The sequence below is a fragment of the Homo sapiens genome, chromosome 18 (assembly GCF_000001405.40).
Source record: "Homo sapiens chromosome 18, GRCh38.p14 Primary Assembly".
NCBI classification, from domain to species: Eukaryota; Metazoa; Chordata; class Mammalia; order Primates; family Hominidae; genus Homo; species Homo sapiens.
The window spans coordinates 79,502,199-79,523,538 of record NC_000018.10 but is presented as its reverse complement, the minus strand read 5'-3'; the positions used below and the strand labels follow the sequence as shown (position 1 = coordinate 79,523,538).

Here is a 21,340-nt window from a genome sequence, read left to right as displayed (position 1 = left end):
GGGCCACGCAAGCTCTCACTAGCTGTGCGTAAACAAGCCGTAGGCGAGACGCCTTTCTCAGTCAAGTATTCGTACCTTCACATAACCAGTTTCTTCTTTTTGATCATCATTTTGAAAGAAAGTTGACATTTAAACTTCACCCTGTAGTGAGCTACCCAAAGTTCACCTCTTAAGTTTCACGCAGGAGTTTTGTTTCTCTATGCTGGGAATGATGAGGGCCAGAACGGAGCTGCCAGGGCCTGAACGCTGTTTGATATATTTTGCCCCCTTGCTGCCTGGCTTGGAAGCAACATTTTTCTGCATTTCTGAATGCCCGGTTTCTGAAAGCAATTAAGGATCTTACATTTTAAGGAATGAACAAACTACCATTTCCCCAGCAGTTATGCAGCCCTGCCTGGCCCTTTGTGCACCTGCTTGCTCCTTGCAACAGCCCCGGGAGCGGCAAAGGCAGGTACTGTAGTCACCCAGTCTGTTCACAGGGACCACGGAGGGCTCGGAGAGTGGGAATGGCTGCCAGGGACCCCAGAGCTGACAGGGCAGGACTGACCCTTACTGGGGTCTGAGCTCAGCCGGCTCTGCTGGGCCCTGAACAGCCACCTGCCCCCAGATCCTCCCAGATGGCGGCCTGGGGCCCCGCTGGGCAAGCCACAGTGTTAGATGTGTGTTTTTTCTTTCAGTACTTACTAGGAAAGTCATGGAAAGCTGGATGGGCCTACTGGCTGGTGCCTGGGGGACGACTCAGACCCTGGGACAGGAGGGTTCCCACCCTGCCCAGCCAGCTCCTGGCCCCAGGAGTCCGTCCTCTCTCCTCCAAATCTGGCCCCCGTCCCTTCCCTCTCTGGTCCTCCCTGTTTCACCTGCAGGGTGCTCAGTGCCCGGAACTTGGCGTATCTGAGGTGAGGGAAGGCTGGGGGCGGGGGTGTTTACTGCCACTTTCCTTTCCTGCGGTGTGCGCCTTTTAACACAAGCAAAACACACACATCAGCAGACACCCCCCACAGACACACACATCAGTGGACGCACCCCCCCCACACAAAACACATCAGCAGATACCCTCCACACACAGACATCAGTAGACGCACCCCCCCAACACACACACAAAACACACACACCAGCAGACGTCCCCCCACCCAGACACAATCCGTGGACGCACCCCCCCCCACACACACAGAGACACAAACATCAGTGGACACCCCCCACCACACACAAAACACACACATCAGCAGGCGCCAGCCCCTACACCCAGACATCAGTAGACGCACCCCTCTACACACAAAACACACACATCAGCAGATGCCACCCCCCCTACACCCAGACACACACATCAGTGGACACCCCCCCCCACACACACAAAACGCATCAGCAGATACCCCCCCACACACACACAGACACAAACATCAGTGGACACCCCCTCCCCATACACAAAACAAAACACACATCAGCAGACGGCCCCCCCCAACAGACACACACATCAGTGGACGCCCCCTCCCCACACACAAAACACACACATCAGCAGACGCCCCCCCACACATGCACAGACACACATATCAGCAGATGCCCCCTCCCCACACACAGCAGACAACCTCCCACACACAAAACACACACATCAGCAGACGCCCCCACACACACAGACATACACATCAGTGGATGCCCCCCCCACACACACAGACACACACATCAGCAGACGCCCCCCCCCCCACACACACAGACACACACATCAGGGGATGCCCCCCCCCACACACATACACATCAGTGGATGCTCCCCACACACACACAGACACACACATCTGTGGATGCACCCCACACACACACAGACACACACATCAGTGGATGCTCCCCACACACACACACACACATCAGCAGACGCCCCCCCCCCCACACACACAGACACACACATCAGCGGATGCCCCCCCCCCCACACACACAGACATACACATCAGCGGATGCTCCCCCCACACACACAGACACACACATCAGTGGATGCCCCCCCACACACACATACACATCAGTGGATGCTCCCCACACACACACAGACACACACATCAGTGGATGCCCCCCACACACACACATACACATCAGTGGATGCTCCCCACACACACACAGACACACACATCAGTGGATGCCCCCCACACACACACAGACACACACATCAGTGGATGCTCCCCACACACACACACATCAGTGGATGCTCCCCCCCTACACACACACACACAGACACACACATCAGGAGACGCCCCCCCCCACACACACAGACACACACATCAGCGGATGCCCCCACACACACATGGACACACATCAGTGGATGCTCCACCCCCCACACACAGACACACATATCAGCTGATGCCCCCACACACACATGGACACACATCAGTGGATGCTCCCCCCCTACACACACACACAGACACACACATCAGCAGACGCCCCCCACACACACACAGACACACACATCAGCGGATGCCCCCACACACACATGGACACACATCAGTGGATGCTCCCACCCCCATACACAGACACACATATCAGTGGATGCCCCCCCCCACACACACAGACACACACATCAGCGGATGCCCCCCCACACACAGACACACACATCAGTGGATGCTCCCTCCCACACACACACCAGTGGATGCTCCCCTCCTACACACACACAGACACACACACCAGTGGATGCCCCCCCCACACATACACAGACACACACATCAGTGGATGCCCCCCCCCACACACAGACACACACATCAGTGGATGCCCCCCCACACACACACACATCAGTGGATGCTCCCCTCCTACACACACAGACACACACATCAGTGGATGCCCCCCCCCCACACACACATATCAGTGGATGCCCCCCAACCACACACAGACACACACATCAGTGGATGCCCCCCCCGACACACAGACACACACATCAGTGGATGCCCCCCCCACACACACACAGACACACACATCAGCGGATGCCCCCACACACACGGACACACATTAGTGGTGGATGCACCCTCCCCCCCCCACACACAGAGTCTTCTGCTGCTTGGCTATACTTATTTTTCAGTCATTTCTCCGGTACTAGCTTAAATGTGCCTTAAACTTTTTTTATGTGGGGGTGGGGGAGGCAGGTGGCCAGAGGCGCCAGCGGAGCAGGATGTCGGAGCTGCCACTCGCCTTCCACTGTGCTGTGAGAGCCACCGGGACACGTCAGCATCTCCCCTGTTCTGAAATCAACACCGAGACACACCGAGTCCCTCCGGAGGCATCTGCAGAGGCAGCAACGCCACGCGAGGGCTGCCGACTCTCCAGCTCCAACATTTCGTCCGGACCTCCCGGCAGCGCAGCGGGGGATCCCCTCCCGTGAGGGGCCCGGAGGGGCTTCGAGAAGGCTGTCGCCTGATGGGCTCCGTCAAGTTTCCCCCTGCAGACCCTCATTCTACCAGTTTTGATTCCATTTTAAATCTGACTTCCAAGTGGCACCCCTGCCGACGGTCAAAACGCCCCCTCTCCTGGTGTGTGCCCTCCATCCCCGCTTCCTGGGGGCAGCCGGTTTCTTGCTGTCTGGACAACAGAGCTCTGCCAATGCCACTTATCTCGCCCGTCCAGGACTTTATCACCAACTGTCCTACTTCCGACTCCAGCAAAGGAGCGACAGCGAGCACGTCTGTGCTTGGCTGTGACTAACAGGGCCTCTGAATAAAGTGAAAATAATCCCACTTTAAGCTGCAAGAGGAAAGACCCACAGAAGGAAAGTCCTTCACGGACGGAGACCCAGGATCCTGAAATGCAGTGCGTCCCTTCAACGTTCTGAGAATAAAAATTTAAACATGCAAGCCCCGGGAGGAAAAGCAATTCCTAAAACATGGCAGAAACAACATAAAAAAAATCTTGCTGTTGTTTTAAAAACTGACCTAAGACCAGGCATGGTGGCTCACACCTGTAATCCCAGCACTTTGGGAAGCCAAGGCGGGAGGATCACTTGAGGCCAAAAGTTCAAGACCAGCCTGGGCAATGTAGTGAGACCACCCCCCATCTCTACAAACAAATGTAAAAATTAGCCAGACATGGTGGTGTGCACCTGTGGTCCCAGCTACTTGGGAGGCTGAGGTGGGAGGATGGCTTGAGCCCAGGAGGTTGAGGCTGCAGTGAGCTGAGATTGTACCACTGCATTCCAGCCTGGGTGACAGAGCAAGACCCTGTCTCAGGAAAAAAAATAAAAAAATAAAAAATAAATAGCCTGATCTCCTGTTTTCCAGGAAAGCCCGAGCCTTGTAAGGGTTTTTCAGATGGTAGTGAAACAACTTGGAAGTCAGCAATTCCTAAGGATTTTCCAAATCTTCTCAGACTAAAATTCTCCCACTTTCCTGCTGCCTTGTTCAAACCATGGTTCGGAGATCTGTGAGCAGCCTGCCAGCCGCCGGAGGCTCTGAAGCCTTTCTGAGGCGAGGTCTTTGCACCTGAACGCTCTGGTAGAACAAGGTTTAGCAAAAGGGAGCCTGGAAGGGCCCATCCTCACCTTCTGCCCAGTCCTGCAGGGCTCAGGACACATCCTGGGGGCTAATCTGTGGGAAGAGGTTTGACTGAGACCCCGTTCTGCTCTGTGAATGGGCGGACTCTTCAGCATCTCACACGGAGAAACAACTTCCTCCTGGATCGGAGCCCAAGTCAGGGATAAGGTGCCTCCTGCCTGCACCGTGGGCACTGGCCGCCTTGTTACAGAATCAACGGCCGTCCACTGAGGGACACCGGGTGCCAGGGGTCCTAACACCCCTCCAGAGCACCCGGCACAGCTCTCCTTGGAGCTGGGTGCTACCCTTAGTCTCGTTTTGAAGACAGGACTGGGCGGTCAGGTCAGCCCATCCTCACACTGCGGTGAGTAGCGGGGGCAGGAGCAGCCTTGCTGTGGGCCACGCCCTGGGCAATGAGCGGTGGCTCCTTGGGGGATCTCAGATTTTTCCAAGTCTGTTTTCTATATGGCTGAACGATGTGACAAAACACTTGTCAAGGACACCCTCTCAGGTGCTCTGATCTGCATCTTTCACGAGCGAGAGGGGGGGTGCCAGGCACTTCCTGGTGGACCTTCAGTTACCGCCCATCAGAACACAAGCAGGCAGCGCGAAACATGCTGGGCCCGGGGGCTCCATCGCCCTTTACACTGCCACACTCAGCTTCCACATGTTCTACTGTGGGCGTGTGCCCCTCCTTCATGTTTCTGGGGTTCATGGGGACATTAGTGTTGTCCTTCCCTTTCTGTCTCAAAGAATTGACTGTGCCTGTCATTGGACGCAGCGGCTGCCATGAATGTCGACCGGGAAAGCGATGGGAAAAGCTGTTCAGACACAGCTGAGCTGCCTCTACCTGGTCACCTGCACGCCAGGCCCATGCAGTCTGCTCCATCCCTGTCCCTGGCAGAGCCCATCTGGGAGTGGTGGTGACTGTGCCAGCTGGAGACCCACTGAGCACCAGGGTGCAGCACAGACAACGACGCCCTCAGGCTGCGTGCAGTGAAGAGCCGGGAGAGGCAGCGCTAGAATTGTTTTTAGGAACTGGATTTGGGCTTAAAGAATAAACAATGTGGTTCAGCCACGCTAACCCAAATACACTGTTTAATCCTTGCAGTTAAAAAGTTTAAGTAGCACAGATGAAGACTATAACTTGCATAAACGATTTTTGTGTCAATTTTTAAAAAGCATATTTGTTCATATAGGTACCACTAACTTAATTGCACAAAACACATTTAAAAGCATCTTCCCTCTTTTTCAATGGTTATGTTAGTTCCAATCAACAACCAATTGTGCTATGATTATTCAAGTCTAAGAGTATTTATCTATGACCGCTAAACAAACCAGACAGTTTGGCAAGGACACAGGCCTCAGAATTATCAGACATCAGAACGTCCTGCAGGACTGCTCCTTCTTTAGAGTTGTCATTTTCCTTTACACTAAAGCAATACAGGAAACAAAAAAGGCCGTCGTGATGCCACCCACGGCCTACGGGGGCATGTTCCTATTGCCTCTTCCTGTCGCAGCGTCCCCATCCGCCTCACTTTCCGTCCAGCAGGCTCCCTTCTAAGGCCCACCGTCCCACTGGACACAGCGTAATTAAACCTGCAGCAGGAACGCAATTGTCCCCAGCTTACTCCACCATCCTCTGAGGGACAGAAAAGTGCATATTCTTCAGAGGACAAGTCATCAAAAATAACTTTTTAAAAAGAGCAAAACAAAACAGGAAAGACATTCTCCTCCATTCCTATAACTAAGAGATAATTATAAAAAGTATTTGCTAACCTTCCCAGAAAATACACCTTTAGCTAAAGTTAGTCTTGTAACCTAAGAGGGTAATAATTTGGGTAGGACACAGATAGAACCAGAAATATCTCAGGCCAAATCCTATTCTTAAATAACTAACTTCTAAGATGTCTCCCAATGACATTTGCTGTACTCAGCTTTGACAATATCTAATAATTCTTGGAGTAAGAACGCCATTTGATGGTGGTTGAAAACCTTAATGAACATATGGATTTTCATGGCTGTGGCGTTCATTACAAAGGGGCATGATAGATGTGTTTACTGACTGTTTTATGGTTTCATTGAATTGCTGAATACACAGCTTTCAATTTTTCCATCTGACATACACATTTAGACTTGTATGGCTCTCATTTAAGGTATTACAGTAGATATGAGCTAAGTACATAAAAATATGGTTAAAGCCACAAATTAGAGATCAGAAAATAGGAAGCGAAGAGGAAAACGCTTTTGTTCCACTGTACGTATATCGTGTCTGATGCAGAGGTGGCTTCGGTGTGTGCGCCAAGGTAACTGAAGAGGCCGCCTCTCATGTGGGTTTTTTAATTTTTTGAGAAGAAGCAACCTCTTAGAAAGTCTACCATAAATGTTTCCTCCTTCACAAGCAAATATCTGGATTTTCCATAACCTCCTACATGAAGCCTCCACCACGGCCTCCTCGGTCCACCCTAAACTGTCCGACACTGCTGGGCGCCCGGCGCTCGGCTGAGAAACGGGGTAAGAACAAGGGCGGTTCTGCCACTCCACAGTCGAGGAGCCACCACATTCTGAAAACGCAGGGTCGCAGCGTCTCTAGAACCCTTCTTTACGATTCTGCATTTTTCAAAGATGCTTTGTAAAGCAGTGGAAAATAACAGCTTCTCAAGTTTCATTAAAAAGTAAGTTCTCAAGTCCAGGACCTATTTCAGCCTTCACTTATTTTTATCTTTTTCATCGCAATAAGCCACCGCCACAGGGCCTGCTATTTTTGGAAGGAGAGGACGGGACAACGGAGGGACGGCCTGACAAGTCACAGTTTTCATAAAACAAGCCCCTCATCTGGACGCAGCTGGTGGTGGGGAGCGGGACCGCCACTCGGGACGTCAGCCATTAAGACAGAATAATTTTCCTACCTTAACTGCCTGCTTCCTTATTTAGCCTGAATGTTGCACAGAATGCAAACGCCGTGTGGAAACTGCCAGGGTTCAGGGTACAGGACCACGTGCCTGGGAGATTCCGACAGGCTGTCCTTCCGCCCCCCACCGAGACGGCATGCGGGCGCGTGTTTCCACGGATCTAGTCCGTCTTATCTGCACCAAACTGCCATTCCAGTCACTCACTGGGATCATTAAACCACCACTTGCAGTTTTCCAGGGCTTTCTTTGTTCTACTAGGAAGTATATGCCCCCAAATTATGAAATTCCATTTCAAACAGAATTAACAGAATTTAAAAAATAAAAATGTTAAAGCTCCTTTTAATAAAGATAAAGTGAATGGACCCCGAGGAGAGTGACCGGGTTGGGTCTCGGTAGGTCCCGCTTCCTCCTGTCCCTCTGCTACAGAAACACGATTCTTCCTCTGCCTGTTCCAGGGGGAGACGGGCACTTGGTGTGAACTGGCACTGATCAGGCGGCCTCCTTCTTTGTAGGGTGGCAGAGAGGGTCAGGATAGAATGTCACCATGTGAAGTGTGTAGCAGCAGGAGGTCAAAAGCTCCATTGGCAACTCAGAAGCCAATACGCCCCTGGTCCCCGGCCAGGCTGCAGGGGTGTGAGCCGAGCCCCCTCCGAGCCCCCATCCACCACCACCACCCGCCCACCACCACCACTGCAGGTATCCTGTGGGCCAGGGACTCCCAAAGGAGGTGGCTGGAGACCACCACTCCTGTGGGATGGGAAACTTGCCTTCCTTCTTTTTTTTTTTTTTTTTTTTGAGATGGAGTCTTGCTCTGTCACCCAGGCAGGAGTGCAGTGGCGCGATCTCTGCTCACTGCAACCTTCCAGGTTCAAGCGATTCTCCTGCCTCAGCCTCCTGAGTAGCTGGGATTACAGGAACCTGCCACCACACCCAGCTAATTTTTGTATTTTTAGTAGAGATGGGGTTTCGCCATGTTGGCCACGCTGGTCTCAAACTCCCGAGCTACAGTGATCTGCCCGCCGTTGCCTCCCAAAGTGCTGGGATTACAGGTGTGAGCCACTGTGCCTGGCCTGCATTTTATTTTTAGAATCAGCGTCTTGCTCTGTCTGTTGCCCAGGCTGGTGTGCAGTGGAATGATCTCAGCTCACTGCAGCCTCGACCTCCCAGGTTCAAGCAATACTCCCTCCTCAGACTCTCAAGTAGGTGGGACCACAGGTGCATGCTACCATGCCTGGCTAATTTTTAAATTGTATAGAGACAGGGTCTTGCTATGTTGCCCAGGCTGGTCTCCAACTCCTGGGCTCAAGTGATCCTCTTGCCTCAGCCTCCCAACATGCTAGGATTATAGGTGTGAGCCACTGTACCCAGCCCCAAACCTGCCTTACTAAAATGTGACTTTCAACTAAATCTTCCTCTTACCAGAGAATCTGCCATTTTGTTAGGTGTGAAAGTTGCACTGTGGCTATGTAAGAAAACGGCCATTTAAAAAAGACACCTGCTTCGGAGGCATGCCAGGGTGGTGGGGGTGGGGAGTGAGATTGGTTTTTTTTTTTTTTTTTTTTTTTTTTTGAGGCAGGGTCTCATTCTGTCACTGGCTGGAGATGCAGTGGTTCGATCACAGCTCACTGCAGCCTTGATCTCCCAGGCTTATGCGATCCTTTCTCCTCTGCCTCCTGAGCAGCTCCTGAGCGCCAACACACCTGGCTAATTTTTGTATTTTTGGTAGAGGTGGGATTTCACCATGTTGCCCAAGCTGGTCTGGAACTCCTGGGCTCGTGTGATCTTCCCACGTCAGCCTCTCAAGTAGCTGGGACCACAGGTGTGCACCACCACACCTGGCTAATTTCTAAAATTTTTGTAGAGATGGGGTCTTGCTATGTTGCCCCAGGGTGGTCTCCAACTCCTGGCTCACCAATCCTCCTGCCTTGGCCTCCCAAAGTGCTTGGATCACAGGTGTGAGCCACTGTGCTGGCTGAGGGTGTGATTTTTAAACATCTCAGCAATGACAACTAGATGGGAACGCCAATCCCTGCGGCCACACCTGGACCGGCTCACAGCTGAACCTGGGCAGCGCCTGGAGGAACCTGCCACTCCGCTCACTCTGCCCCACGCACGTCCACGCTCACCGTGGAGATCAGCACGGCCTTCACAGGAGCCTGAAGCACAGTGAGCGGCCAGCTCAGGTGGGGACACGTCCCCGAGAAGGGACAGAGGCTAGCACACAGGGAGACAAAGGATCCATGGGCTCCACAGTGGCCCGTCCTGGACGTGGGCATGCACATGGCACAGCCAGTGTACCCTCAGGCTTCACCACGCCACGCACCTCCCCTCATGGTGAGTGTCCACGAACCACCGTGGGTGTCACCTGGAGCTCGGCAGCACACAGGCCACACACCCCCGGCAGATGCAGCCCCAGTAATGTCTGGGGAGCCCTGGGTCAGAGGGAGGAGACCGGGAGCTAGCTGCAAGGGAAACCGCCCCCATGCCCCAGGGACACTCGCCTTGAAGAGTACTTCTCTAGGGCTGCCCACGAAAGACGACGTCCACGCCCCCGCCGGCGGGAAAGCACGTGTCCCTCACCACCACGATGTTTTCGAATTATCGTTTGAATCTTTAAGAGGTGCTTTTGTACCAGTTTTTAAAGTGACATTTTGTTTGAGGTTTGGGGACAGCCCAGAGTCCTCAGAAGCCTCGGGGGATGACGCGGGTATCTGGGAAGGTGGGTGGGAGGCGGGTGGAAGAGCAGAAAAGGGAAAGATCCTCAAGCCTGGTCCTTGAGAAAGCCGTGTGCTGACCCGGGAGCCTCACGCCCTGGCCGCGGAGGCCAAGGTGCCCTCTGCCACGGGAAGCAGGTCATCTCCCTGCAGACCCTACAGGTGGGGGCCGGGGACGGCGTCTCTGCAGCGGTCCCAGTGCCCTGAACCCGGAGTCCACCCGCGGGCATCAGCTGCTCTACGCCGACGGGAGTTGACACAGCCTGGTGGTGGTTCTGGGTATCGAGAGAGGAATTAAAATACTGGCAGTGCTCCTTTTTATTGAGAGCCGAGCGTTCGAAAGTGATACCGTTTTTAAAGCGCTCTTTAAAAACATGGCAGATACAACTCCCTGCGTCTCTAGCGAAATTCTCTGCCAGGCCCTCTCCCATCTTATAGGCACATGAGCCAGGTGGGTACGGAAGGCGATTTGGTGTGGGTGGGGTGCGGACCTACGGTCAGGACGTCCCTGCAGGCAGCACCCCACATTCACACGGGAAGGCTATTTCTTCCAGTGGACTTGGTGGCCGTCAGCGCGCCTCCCCGCAGCACGTGGAGAAGGCGCCCTCAGGACCTCCCTGACACATACAGGGGCTGAGAGCTCGAGTGGGATGAGACGTGGCTCACGTGTGCAGGCTCCACTGTTCAAACGGCAGCCACAGCCCAGAGCGCAGCAGAGGGCACAGGTGCCGCATCCAGGTGGACAGACCACGGCTCAGCAAACGGGGGAGGCACACGGGGCCCACCGACTGGAGAGACCGCAGCTCAGCAAACGGGAAGCACAAGGGGCCCGCCGACTGCAGGCATCTCCTCCTGCCACATGTGTGAGTCCACAGCCGCACAACTGCCAAGGCTCTGACCTCGTGGAGCCACAGATGCTGCTCCGGCTCCGGTTCCTAGCCAGGGTTGCTTCTCCTCCTTGGGAGGCTGTCTAGAAAAATTCAAGGCAAAGCAAAAGTTCGGGGTGTGTGGGTGTGGCGGAGTGGCTGCCGTTCTCATAAAATCCCTAAGCCTTAGTCTAAACTCCACGTGGTGGGAGAGGTCCTAGTGCCAGGTGGTGCCAGGATTTTGCTGCAGTCAGACGCTTTTCCGTTTATTTACCTCCCAGGGCAGTGCCTGTGGCGCAGTTTCAACAAAGTCCAAACACTCGCCAGTGTCCTGGGGCGAGGCCGTGTCCTGGGGTGAGGCCGTGTCCTGGGGCGAGGCCGTGTCCTGGGGTCAGGCTGCGTCCTGGGGCTTGTCTCCTCAAGCCATCCTCCCTGAGGCCGGCTCCTCCTGGGCCTCTCTGTCCGCCATGCCAGGGGTCGCTTGGGCCGGAGACAAGGAGCCATTGCCGGGACAGGCTCCTGTGCCCCGCGTGCTCCCGCCACCTGCGCATCCTGGGATGGCTGCGGACGTCTCAGCTGCGTCCCATCCACTGGGCTCCTGAGAGCCAGCACACAGCTTCCTGCTCTCCCCAGGCCCGTGCCGCCCTCTGTTCCTGGCCTCCCCCAGAAGCCCCGAATCCTGCCAACTCCCTAGGCAGGTCCCGGACCCGCAGCAAGTCCATCCACATCTCCCAGCTCCACTGCACGTCCTGAGCTTCAGCAGCTCTCCTCGGGCCAGCTCAGTGCCTCACCGGCTGGCCCCCCACTGAGAGCCTCGAAACCACGCAGGCAGCTCCCCATGCTGCAGCCAGGGGAGCACCTCTGGGAGGGAAATCCAGGCCCTGACTGCCTCAGGAGCTCAGGGGCGCAGACGTGTCCTGGCGGGAGGCACAGCCCCTCTTGAACCTGCCCTCCACCCCTCCACAGCTCAGGCTACGTACATCCTGGGCACGGCGAGGCTTCCCTCCACGGCCGCCACTGTGCCATGGCCCTGGTGCCCTCACAGCCATTACCTGTGCCGCCCTCCCCTGGCTTAACGGAAGCCACCGTGGAGTCACTGCTGTCTGTGTTAGCAGCACTGACCCCCGGCAGAACCTGCTGTTTGCAAAGAATAGAAAAGTCACGGAGGTACGGAGACAACGCACCATGACCCATCGTGTGGCGAGGTGCTGGCCAAACTCCCAACGCGGAAGCAGCGGGGAGGGGGGAGGCAGAGTCGGGCCTTGTAATCTTCAGGACATATTGACCCCGGAGTGAAAAAAACACCCCAAGATTGAATTTCTGTATTGATTATCCAATTATTAATCTTGTGGAGGCTATTCCAACACTGCACATAATGAGCAATTCATCACAGCGAGCCGGGTGCCACGGAGCGGTGCGGCAGGAAGGCCATTAGGTTCCTGTAATTGCCGTTGGTGGACTCTCGTTAGCTCTAAATCGAATCAGCGGGGCTGGCCCAGGGCACCCTGACAGACACCGCGGGCCCACGCCAGGCCTCGCCAGCGACCACTCCCAGCCTGGCTGGGAACACGACACTTCCACCGCAGCGACAAGACCGGCGAACGATGCCCCGGAGCAGGATGCCCCGGCGGAGGAGCCCCCGGTGGAGGATGTCCCGGCGGAGGATGCCCCGGCGGAAGATGCCCCGGCAGAGGATGCCCCGGCAGAGGATGCCCCGGCAGAGGATGCCCCGGCAGAGGAGCCCCGTGGAGGGGATGCCGGGGTCTGTGCCCAGGGCCACACAGGGCAGGGACGCCTCCGCAGGAAGGACCTGGGTGCCCCCACACCCTGTCTTCTAGAAGAAATTCTATCAACCGACCGCTCCCAAACCCAGCAGACTTGGAAACCGAGCCTGGCAACTGGGAATGCATCTCATCCTCAGGGTTTCAAACCTCATGACACTGCGTTTCCCACATAAACAGAAAAGACCGCTGAAATAAAAGAGAGACAGGCCCATCCCTGTTCCTCCGAAAAGTTTTTTGACCTCTAAGCCCCTCAAATCCAAACGCAAGAGCCCTCCACCACGCCTGTGGCAACCACGCAGGTGCCATCAGGTAGGGCCGCATTCATCTCACCTGGAATTGTGATTTAAACGTGAATTATTTAACTTCTCGCTTCAACTGTTCTCCCTCTCCCTACTCCGATTTTCTGAGGGCTCAGGGATCTGATCCCCATATGTGGTTTTTTTTTAGCCCTAAAGTAATTCCTAAATACTCACTCATTCTATGTCATCTTTTGAAAGTGGAATCCGTCCCATCCCTGAGTTTCCGCACGGGGGCATGACCCAGCGAACCTCACCACGGCTGCGGCTCCCATCAGGTGACCCTGAAGTGACGGCCCGGGAACCTGCTCGCTGTCCTGTCTGAATTTCCTCCTTGGGGGGGGCTATGAGTTATCTGGAAAACTAAGCACTAATTTCTTCTGTTTTCCTAAATTTGGTTTCTGAAGAAGCCTTAAAATATGTCTTCAGAAGAAAGATTGACCGTGGAGACACAGGCTCTTTCGAGATGTCTGTTCACAATAAAGGACCAAAGATCAACGAGGCTTTATGGCTGCACCAAGAGTGGTTAACTTTAAATGGAAGCAGCCTGTGAGCTCAGTGTGGTACCTGGCGCCGAGGACACTTTCCGATAAGTCTTGGTCCATTTCCAAACACCGAGGTGAGGTCAGCCCAGAGAAAGTGGGAGGGCTTTCTGAGCAGGAGCAGAAGCTGGGATTGGAGCTCAGAGCTCCCCAGCTTCGCGTTCCCTCCCTGGTCCGTGAGCTGACAGTTGTCACAGCCTCCTGCTCAGGTGTCATGGGTGTTCAGCTCAGACTGTGCCGGCACCTTCCAGAACCTTCTGTAACTTTAGCAGGTCCAGATCTAATGGAGATCACTGACCTAATCAAAGTGGTCAAAACTGCTTAAAAGAAACCCAGGTCTCTTTGAGACCCTCCTGGGAGCAGGGGTGCCCCTCTAGGCAGGGGAGCATTGCATGTGAGGCCCACGGCATGGCACTGCGCGGGCGTCTGAGGAAACATCACCGGGCCGGCATCTGCGTGCTCTCCTCTCCTCCCACGCCCTCTGCATGGCCAACCCCCTCGCCGCCCACTGTCCACATCCCAGGCCCAGCTCCTCCTACAGTGAAGGGGGACCTGGGGGAGTGGCTGGGCCCCAGCTGAGCTGGCAGCCCAGGGTGGGTGGCGGTGAGTTCCGGCTGGTGGAGAGCTGGCGTCCGGCAGGCGCGGTGGACATCTGCATATGTGGGTGCCAAAGCTCCGCCTTGAAGGCAGCTAGAGACAGGTGCAGAAAAGGGGAACAGGAAGTGGACGGCGGGGAAAGGACACGGGCCACGCCACTGCACAGGGGCCAGCACGTCCCTCTCCCCGGAGCCCACACACCTCTGCGGAGGCTGCAACACTGCCCAGCAATGGCGTTTCCTTCCATGCGGGTCTCTCCAATGCTCTAGTTCTCCGCTTTCTCCGTACAGGACACTGCAAGAAGCACAGACACCTGGCACGGCAGTGGAGACCGACAACCCTGTCCACTCCAGCAGAGAAAAGGAGCTGAAAAGAACCAGACATCACAGTGAACACAGCAACAAAAGAAAAGGCCGCCATGAGAGAGAAAGGGAGGGAGGGAGGGACGGAGAGAGAGACAGAGAGGCAGAGACAGAGGGAGAGAGATAAGAGAGACAGAGACACACGGAGGGAGATGGAGAGAGAGAGAGATGGACGGAGAGATGGAGAGAGGGACAGAGAAACAGAGCGAGGAAGGGAGGGAGACGGAGAGAGATGGATGGAGAGAGGGACAGAGATTCAGAGACGGAGGGAGACAAAGAGGCAGAGACAGGGAGGAAGGGAGACAGAGAGACAGACTGAGAAAGAGACAGACCGAGAGACAGAGACAGAGAGAGGGATAGAGATACAGAGAAAGACCGAGAGAGAGGGGAGGGAGTTCAGACCCTCCGTGCGTTTATGAGCCTTCGAGCACATTTTTGAGGGGCAGTCAGACTAGTGCTTTCAATTTTTCTTTTAATCCAGCATAAACACCTAATTAACAGATAGGCTCTGACAAACATTTCTGAGCTCTTTTCTTAAATTAAAACACATAAAAAACACCTGCCCATGCGCCCCCTCACCCAACCCTCACACGCACGCCGCTGCCCTGTGGCTGCTGGTCAGGCCGAGCGAACTGCCAGGTGACGACGCTTCCTCCTGCCCGGCACCCTCTGTCCGTCCATCCCTCCCTCCAGCCAGGTGACCAGGCTTCCTCCCACCAGGCGCCCTCCGTCCGTCCGTCCCTCCCTCCCTCCACCTTTTTTCTCCAGCCTTCTGCCAAGAGGAAATAACTCAGCTGCACTGGGAGTCTGGGAATCCCAGAAAACAATCTGAAATCCACAAAAATAATTGAAGTTCACTTTTACTGAGCTGTTCAGTTCCATTCTGATTTTTATTACAATGTCAACAAGAGTTTAATTTGTTTTAAAGTTTGGGTTCTTAAATCTGAGTGATATACGGTAGTTTACAGCCCGCTGGCAGCAGCTACTGTGGAAAAGGGAAAGTACATAACAGGGATCCTCCGCCTGACGCGGCGACTGCGGCTGCGGGGAGCCCGGCCAGAGCGACGGCCCCCAGCTTCCCGCGGGACGGTGGCCACGTGACGGACGTGTTTCCCTCCACAGCCAGCTCCTCCGAAAGCTCCCAAAACCTAACTTCTCACGTAAAAGCACTGCGGATGCGAATGCGCTCACTAACGTTTACTATTTCAGAGGGCGAGGGAGAAGGTTTTTCTTTACTGACTCGTGAGGCTTCTTGCAACACATCACGGGTGGGGGTGCAGAAGCCTGGTGTCCTTTCTAGGGCTCCGGGGGACGTGCGTCAGGAACCCACACATTTGTCCCCTGGCCCAGGGCTCGTCTGTGCGCCTGCTGAGACACTGCCAGGGAGGACATCTGGGCCCATCGGTGCCAGCTGAACAGACACTGGGCTGAACTGCAAACCCATCCACTTGAGGGGTGAGGTCTTCATGGTGCTGCCCCGGAGGGCAGGGGCTCCCTTGGCAGAGGCTGCGCCAGCCAGCGCTGCACACCGTCAGCCCCATGTCTGTGGGGAGCCACAGCCTGCCGGCCACGCCTGCCTGATTTACGCGGCCGCTCGCATGGCTCCACCGGCCCCGGCACAGCCCTCTAACCCGCAGTCCAGGCTGCTGTGCCTTCTCCCTCCCTGCCACCAGCTCTGAGTGCAGCCTCGGGAACTGAGCTGCTGCCAAGGGCTGGGAGCCGTGCGGTTTCCAGGCCCTACTTCCTGCCATATCTAAAATAACAGCAGCTGGGAGGGCCTGATAGGGCCTGTCTGGGGCGAAGACTTCACCTCTGGGGTGGGACGCGGGCCAGGGGCTGATAACCCCCTCCCCGCAGTGCCTGGCGACAGCGTCCTGCTCCATCAGCTCCGTTTCGGAACAAAGAGAGCCCAGCCACAGCTCTGGGGTGATAACTAGGGGAGGGCTGGCCCGGCCGCTGGGTCCATTGTCCCAGTATCAGGCTTTGATTATGGGTCCGGGGCCTGGTGGGCGGATCTTTGGAAGGGGATACACTTTCTTTGTCCCTTACTGTGTGTGAGTGTCCACACTGTAATCTGGAAGGAAGGAAGAACCCTGTTTCAGAATTAAACTGAAAAGGATCAAGAGATTCTCAAAATTCCACACCCAGACCTCCAGTAATGCAACACAGAACCACCCAGAAGCCAGGCAGGAAGTGGCTGAGAAGTTCATGCTCCCGTCTGTGTTTCTAAAGAGATTTCTTAATTAAGCAACACAATAAGTAACTGGGAAGCACACACATTTTTATTCCCTACGAGAAATTCTGTCATGAACACTGTCATTTAAAAATAGAGCTAGACTCCTCCTAACACTCCCTACAGGACATGGTCCAGGGACCGTGTGTTGGACGTGATGGCTTCAAGCCCAATTCCCCCAGCACTGAGCATCTTCAGAGGCCAATGAACCACGTTATGAAACCACACTCAGCTCTCAGGCCCTGTGAAGAGAGGCTCCAAGGGCTGTGTGGAGGGCAGACGGACCCACACCCCTGGGGAGGGCATATCAGAGCAGGTGCCGGGCCAGCACAGAGGGTCCCTGGGAGAGGCCTGGTCACCGGAGGTGGGAAGATGGGGGGACAAGGCGCACAGTCCCAGTGTCTTTGCTGGGGAAGCTCAGGAGCATCTGTCCACGGAGGGAGGGGCTGACACGCAGGTGCCCACAGCCGCTGCTCGGCCGAGACCACTGTTCCTCTCCACACTGCGGCTGAGGAGGCAACTGAAACCACGCCACAGGCTCAGACCCCACGGCGAACCGCTCTTTATAAGGAGTCCTTTTTCTTGCATTAACAAAATGCTCAAAACTCAGTTGAAGAAAAGTAAAAAGCACGTGGCATTGCTAGGGTCTCCCAGCCCCTCCCTAAACACACAGCATTCTACGGAGGCACGTTTCACACAGGTAATGCACCCTTGAGAAGGGCACAAAATTCAGTGATTTTTGGTAAAGGTGCCCAGTTGTGCCACCATCACTGCAGGTGTCAGAACACTTCCATCACCCAAGGGGCTCGTCCACCACCTCTTCCCACAAAGCGGTCTCCTGCCTCTTCCCTCATCCAAGGGCCTCCAGCACCACCTCCTCCCACGCAGCAGTCTCCTGCCTCTTCCCTCACCCAAGGGCCTCCAGCACCACCTCCTCCCACACAGCAGTCTCCTGCCTCTTCCCTCACCCAAGGGTCTCATCCACCACCTCCTCCCACACAGCAGTCTCCTGCCTCTTCCCTCACCCAAGGGCCTCCAGCACCACCTCCTCCCACACAGCAGTCTCCTGCCTCTTCCATCACCCAAGGGTCTCGTCCACCACCTCCTCCCACGCAGCAGTCTCCTGCCTCTTCCATCACCCAAGGGTCTCATCCACCACCTCCTCCCACACAGCAGTCTCCTGCCTCTTCCCTCACCCAAGGGCCTCCAGCACCACCTCCTCCCACACAGCAGTCTCCTGCCTCTTCCATCACCCAAGGGCCTCCAGCATCACCTCCTCCCACGCAGCAGTCTCCTGCCTCTTCTCTCACCCAAGGGCCTCCAGCACCACCTCCTCCCACGCAGCAGTCTCCTGCCTCTTCCATCACCCAAGGGCCTCCAGCATCACCTCCTCCCACGCAGCAGTCTCCTGCCTCTTCCCTCACCCAAGGGCCTCCAGCACCACCTCCTCCCACGCAGCAGTCTCCTGCCTCTTCCATCACCCAAGGGTCTCATCCACCACCTCCTCCCACACAGCAGTCTCCTGCCTCTTCCCTCACCCAAGGGCCTCCAGCACCACCTCCTCCCACGCAGCAGTCTCCTGCCTCTTCCCTCACCCAAGGGCCTCCAGCACCACCTCCTCCCACGCAGCAGTCTCCTGCCTCTTCCATCACCCAAGGGCCTCCAGCATCACCTCCTCCCACGCAGCAGTCTCCTGCCTCTTCCCTCACCCAAGGGCCTCCAGCACCACCTCCTCCCACGCAGCAGTCTCCTGCCTCTTCCATCACCCAAGGGTCTCATCCACCACCTCCTCCCACACAGCAGTCTCCTGCCTCTTCCCTCACCCAAGGGCCTCCAGCACCACCTCCTCCCACGCAGCAGTCTCCTGCCTCTTCCCTCACCCAAGGGCCTCCAGCACCACCTCCTCCCACACAGCAGTCTCCTGCCTCTTCCCTCACCCAAGGGCCTCCAGCACCACCTCCTCCCACGCAGCAGTCTCCTGTCTCCAGAGCTGCGCCTTTTGTGGATGTCTTGCAGGCAAGCCTCACTTCACTGTGCTTCAGACACTGCTTTTCACAAAGGGGAGGTCTTTGGCAACCCTGCACCAGGCATGTCTGTGGGCACCACGTTTCCAACAGCAGGTGCCCACTTCATATCTCTGTGTCACGTTTCAATAATGCTCATGATGTTCCAAGCTTTCTCATTGCTATCATATCTGCTGCGGAGATCTGTGATCTTTGGGGTTACTGTTGTCATTGTTTTGGGGTGCCACGAACTGTGCCCATCTAAGATGAAGTGAATGGATAAGAGCTGGGTGCGTCCTGACTGCTCCACTGACCAGCCATTCTCTATCTCTCTCCCTGGGCTCAGGCCTCCCTATTCCCTGAGACACAACCATACTGACATTAGGCCAATTAAGAACCCTACGACAGCCTCCAAGTTTTCAAGTAAAAGTTCAAGGGCAAGGAAAGGTCACACGTCTCTCACTTCAAAACTAGGAATGATTAAATTTGGTGAGGAACACCCGTCGAAAGCCGAGACAGGCTGACAGCTCAGCCTCCCGCGCCAGTCCAACTGTGAATGCAGCGGAAAACTCTAGACAGACAGAAGTGAAAACCGCTGCCCTAGTGAACAACACCGATGATAAGAGGGCGGAACAGCCTTATTGCTGATACAGAGAAAGTCCGAGTGATCTGGACAGAAGATTGAACCAGCCACAACACTCCCTTAAGCCAAAGCCTAATCCAGACCAAGACCCTCGCTCTCTCTGTCCTACGAAGGCTGAGAGATGAGGAAGCTGCAGAAAAAAAAGTTTGAAGCCAGCAGAGGCTAGTTCATGAGGTTGAAGGAAAGAAGCCATCTCCATACCATAAAAGCAAAGATGAAGCAGCAAGTGCTGATGGGGAAGCTGCAGCAAGTTCTCCAGGAGATCTGGCTGAGACCATTGGTGAAGGTGGCCACACTAAACAACAGATTTTCTGTGCAGACAAAACAGCCTTCTATTGGAGATGCCGTCTGGGACTCCCATAGCTGGAGAGGACTCAGTGTCTGGCTGCAAAGCTTCCAAGGACAGGCTGACCCCCTTGGTAGGGGCTAATGCAGCTGGTGACTTTAAGTTGAATCCAGTGTCCATCTGCCACCCCGAAAATCCCAAGGCCCCTAAGAATGACGCGGAATCTCCTCTGCCTGTGCGCCACCCATGGAGCGACAAAGCCCGGATGACGGCACCTCTGTTCACAGCATGGTTTACCGAAGGTTTTAAGCCCACCATTGAGACTTAACTGCTCATAAAAAGAGCCCTTTAATAATATTACTGCTCACGGACAATGCACCTGGTCACCCCACGCAGGTACAAACACTGTTTTTTTAGACACATTGCTGGTGCACACTTAACAGACTCAGTACAGTGTGAGCGTCACTTTTATATGCCCTGGAAGCCACACACTCCAGCGGCTTTCTTTTGCCATACTGGCTGTATCCCAGTGGTCTGAGGCTGAACCTGCGACGTCTCTGAGGTGTGCATGCAAGGGAGCCACTGAGTCTGTGGTCTCGTGTGTGGATTTTTCCCAGAGCATGAGGGTTTCCAGGTTCACCTGAGTCCTGGGGTGCTCAGTACTCATTCCTTTTGGGGATGGATAACACTCGGGTGAGGATAAACCCCACCTTTCCTCTCTCTTCCCCACATGCTGGGCATTGTGGTTGTTTCAGATGTTTGGCTAAAGAACGCTGTGAAGGACAGTCATGTACAAGCCTTTGTGTGGATGTGTGCATCTGTTTCCTTGAATACATACCTAGGAGTGGAACTGCTGAGTCACATGGCAAGTTTCTTCTAAGAAATTTCTTTAAGAAACTGCCTAAGTGGCCGGAATGTAATGCCATGTTACACTCCTGCCAGCAAGGCTTCAGGGGCCCAATTTCTCCTCGTCTCTAAAATTGGCTGTTGTCTATCTTATCTCCTAAAGCCACTTGAATGGATATAAAATGGTATCTTATTGAAATTTACAATGTGCATTCCCTAATAACTAGTGATGTGGAGTATTTTTTCATGTGTTTATTATCCATTCCTATGTCTTGTCTGGAGAAATGTCTATTCAAATCCTTTGCCCAGTTTTTGATTAGGCTTTCTGTCTTATTATTGAGCTGTAAGTGTTCTTTGTATATTCTGGATATAAGCCCTTTATCAGATAGTTGTTTTGCAAACACATTCCTCTAGTCTATTGCTTATCTTTTCATTTTCTTAATAGTACTTTTGAAGCATAAAAATTTTAAATTTTGGTGAGGTTCCATTTATCAAGTTTTTATTTTATGAGCTGTGCTTTTGATGTCATATCTAAGAAACCTCTGCCTAATCCAAAGTCTTGAAAGAGTTCCTCATGTGCTATCTCCAAAAACGTTTGACTATTTTGGCTCCTACTAGTCCAAGATCAAGTTCATTTTCGGTGCGTGGTGTGTGTTTTTTTGCATGTGGCAAATGTCCCAGCACCACTTGTTAAAAAGGCTGTCATTTACTCCAATTAAATGGGCTTTGTGCCTTTGTCAAAAAATCAATTTACCGCAGACAT

General features: G+C 54.5%; 1 protein-coding gene and 1 long non-coding RNA gene across 9 annotated transcripts in view, besides 3 other annotated features; one reads left to right on the top strand and one right to left on the bottom strand.

Moving 5' to 3' along the window:
* The window catches only part of NFATC1 (nuclear factor of activated T cells 1), a 133,394-nt gene that overhangs the window by 5,785 nt on the left and 106,269 nt on the right, over nucleotides 1-21,340 (bottom strand). The gene's annotated exons all lie outside the window — the stretch shown is intronic.
* Nucleotides 23-4,218, top strand: LOC102723506 (uncharacterized). The gene is made up of 3 exons (XR_935689.3): nucleotides 23-451; nucleotides 678-896; nucleotides 3,114-4,218. It is a non-coding gene; the product is annotated as an uncharacterized LOC102723506 (long non-coding RNA).
* Nucleotides 14,093-14,142: an enhancer, noted in NCBI's record as "active region_13544". NCBI's record gives its function as "activates an Ori minimal core promoter by ATAC-STARR-seq in GM12878 lymphoblastoid cells {active_cell/tissue: GM12878}" and the evidence as "EXISTENCE:reporter gene assay evidence [ECO:0000049][PMID:35858748]".
* Nucleotides 14,213-14,302: an enhancer, noted in NCBI's record as "active region_13543". NCBI's record gives its function as "activates an Ori minimal core promoter by ATAC-STARR-seq in GM12878 lymphoblastoid cells {active_cell/tissue: GM12878}" and the evidence as "EXISTENCE:reporter gene assay evidence [ECO:0000049][PMID:35858748]".
* Nucleotides 17,111-17,390: an enhancer, noted in NCBI's record as "active region_13542". NCBI's record gives its function as "activates an Ori minimal core promoter by ATAC-STARR-seq in GM12878 lymphoblastoid cells {active_cell/tissue: GM12878}" and the evidence as "EXISTENCE:reporter gene assay evidence [ECO:0000049][PMID:35858748]".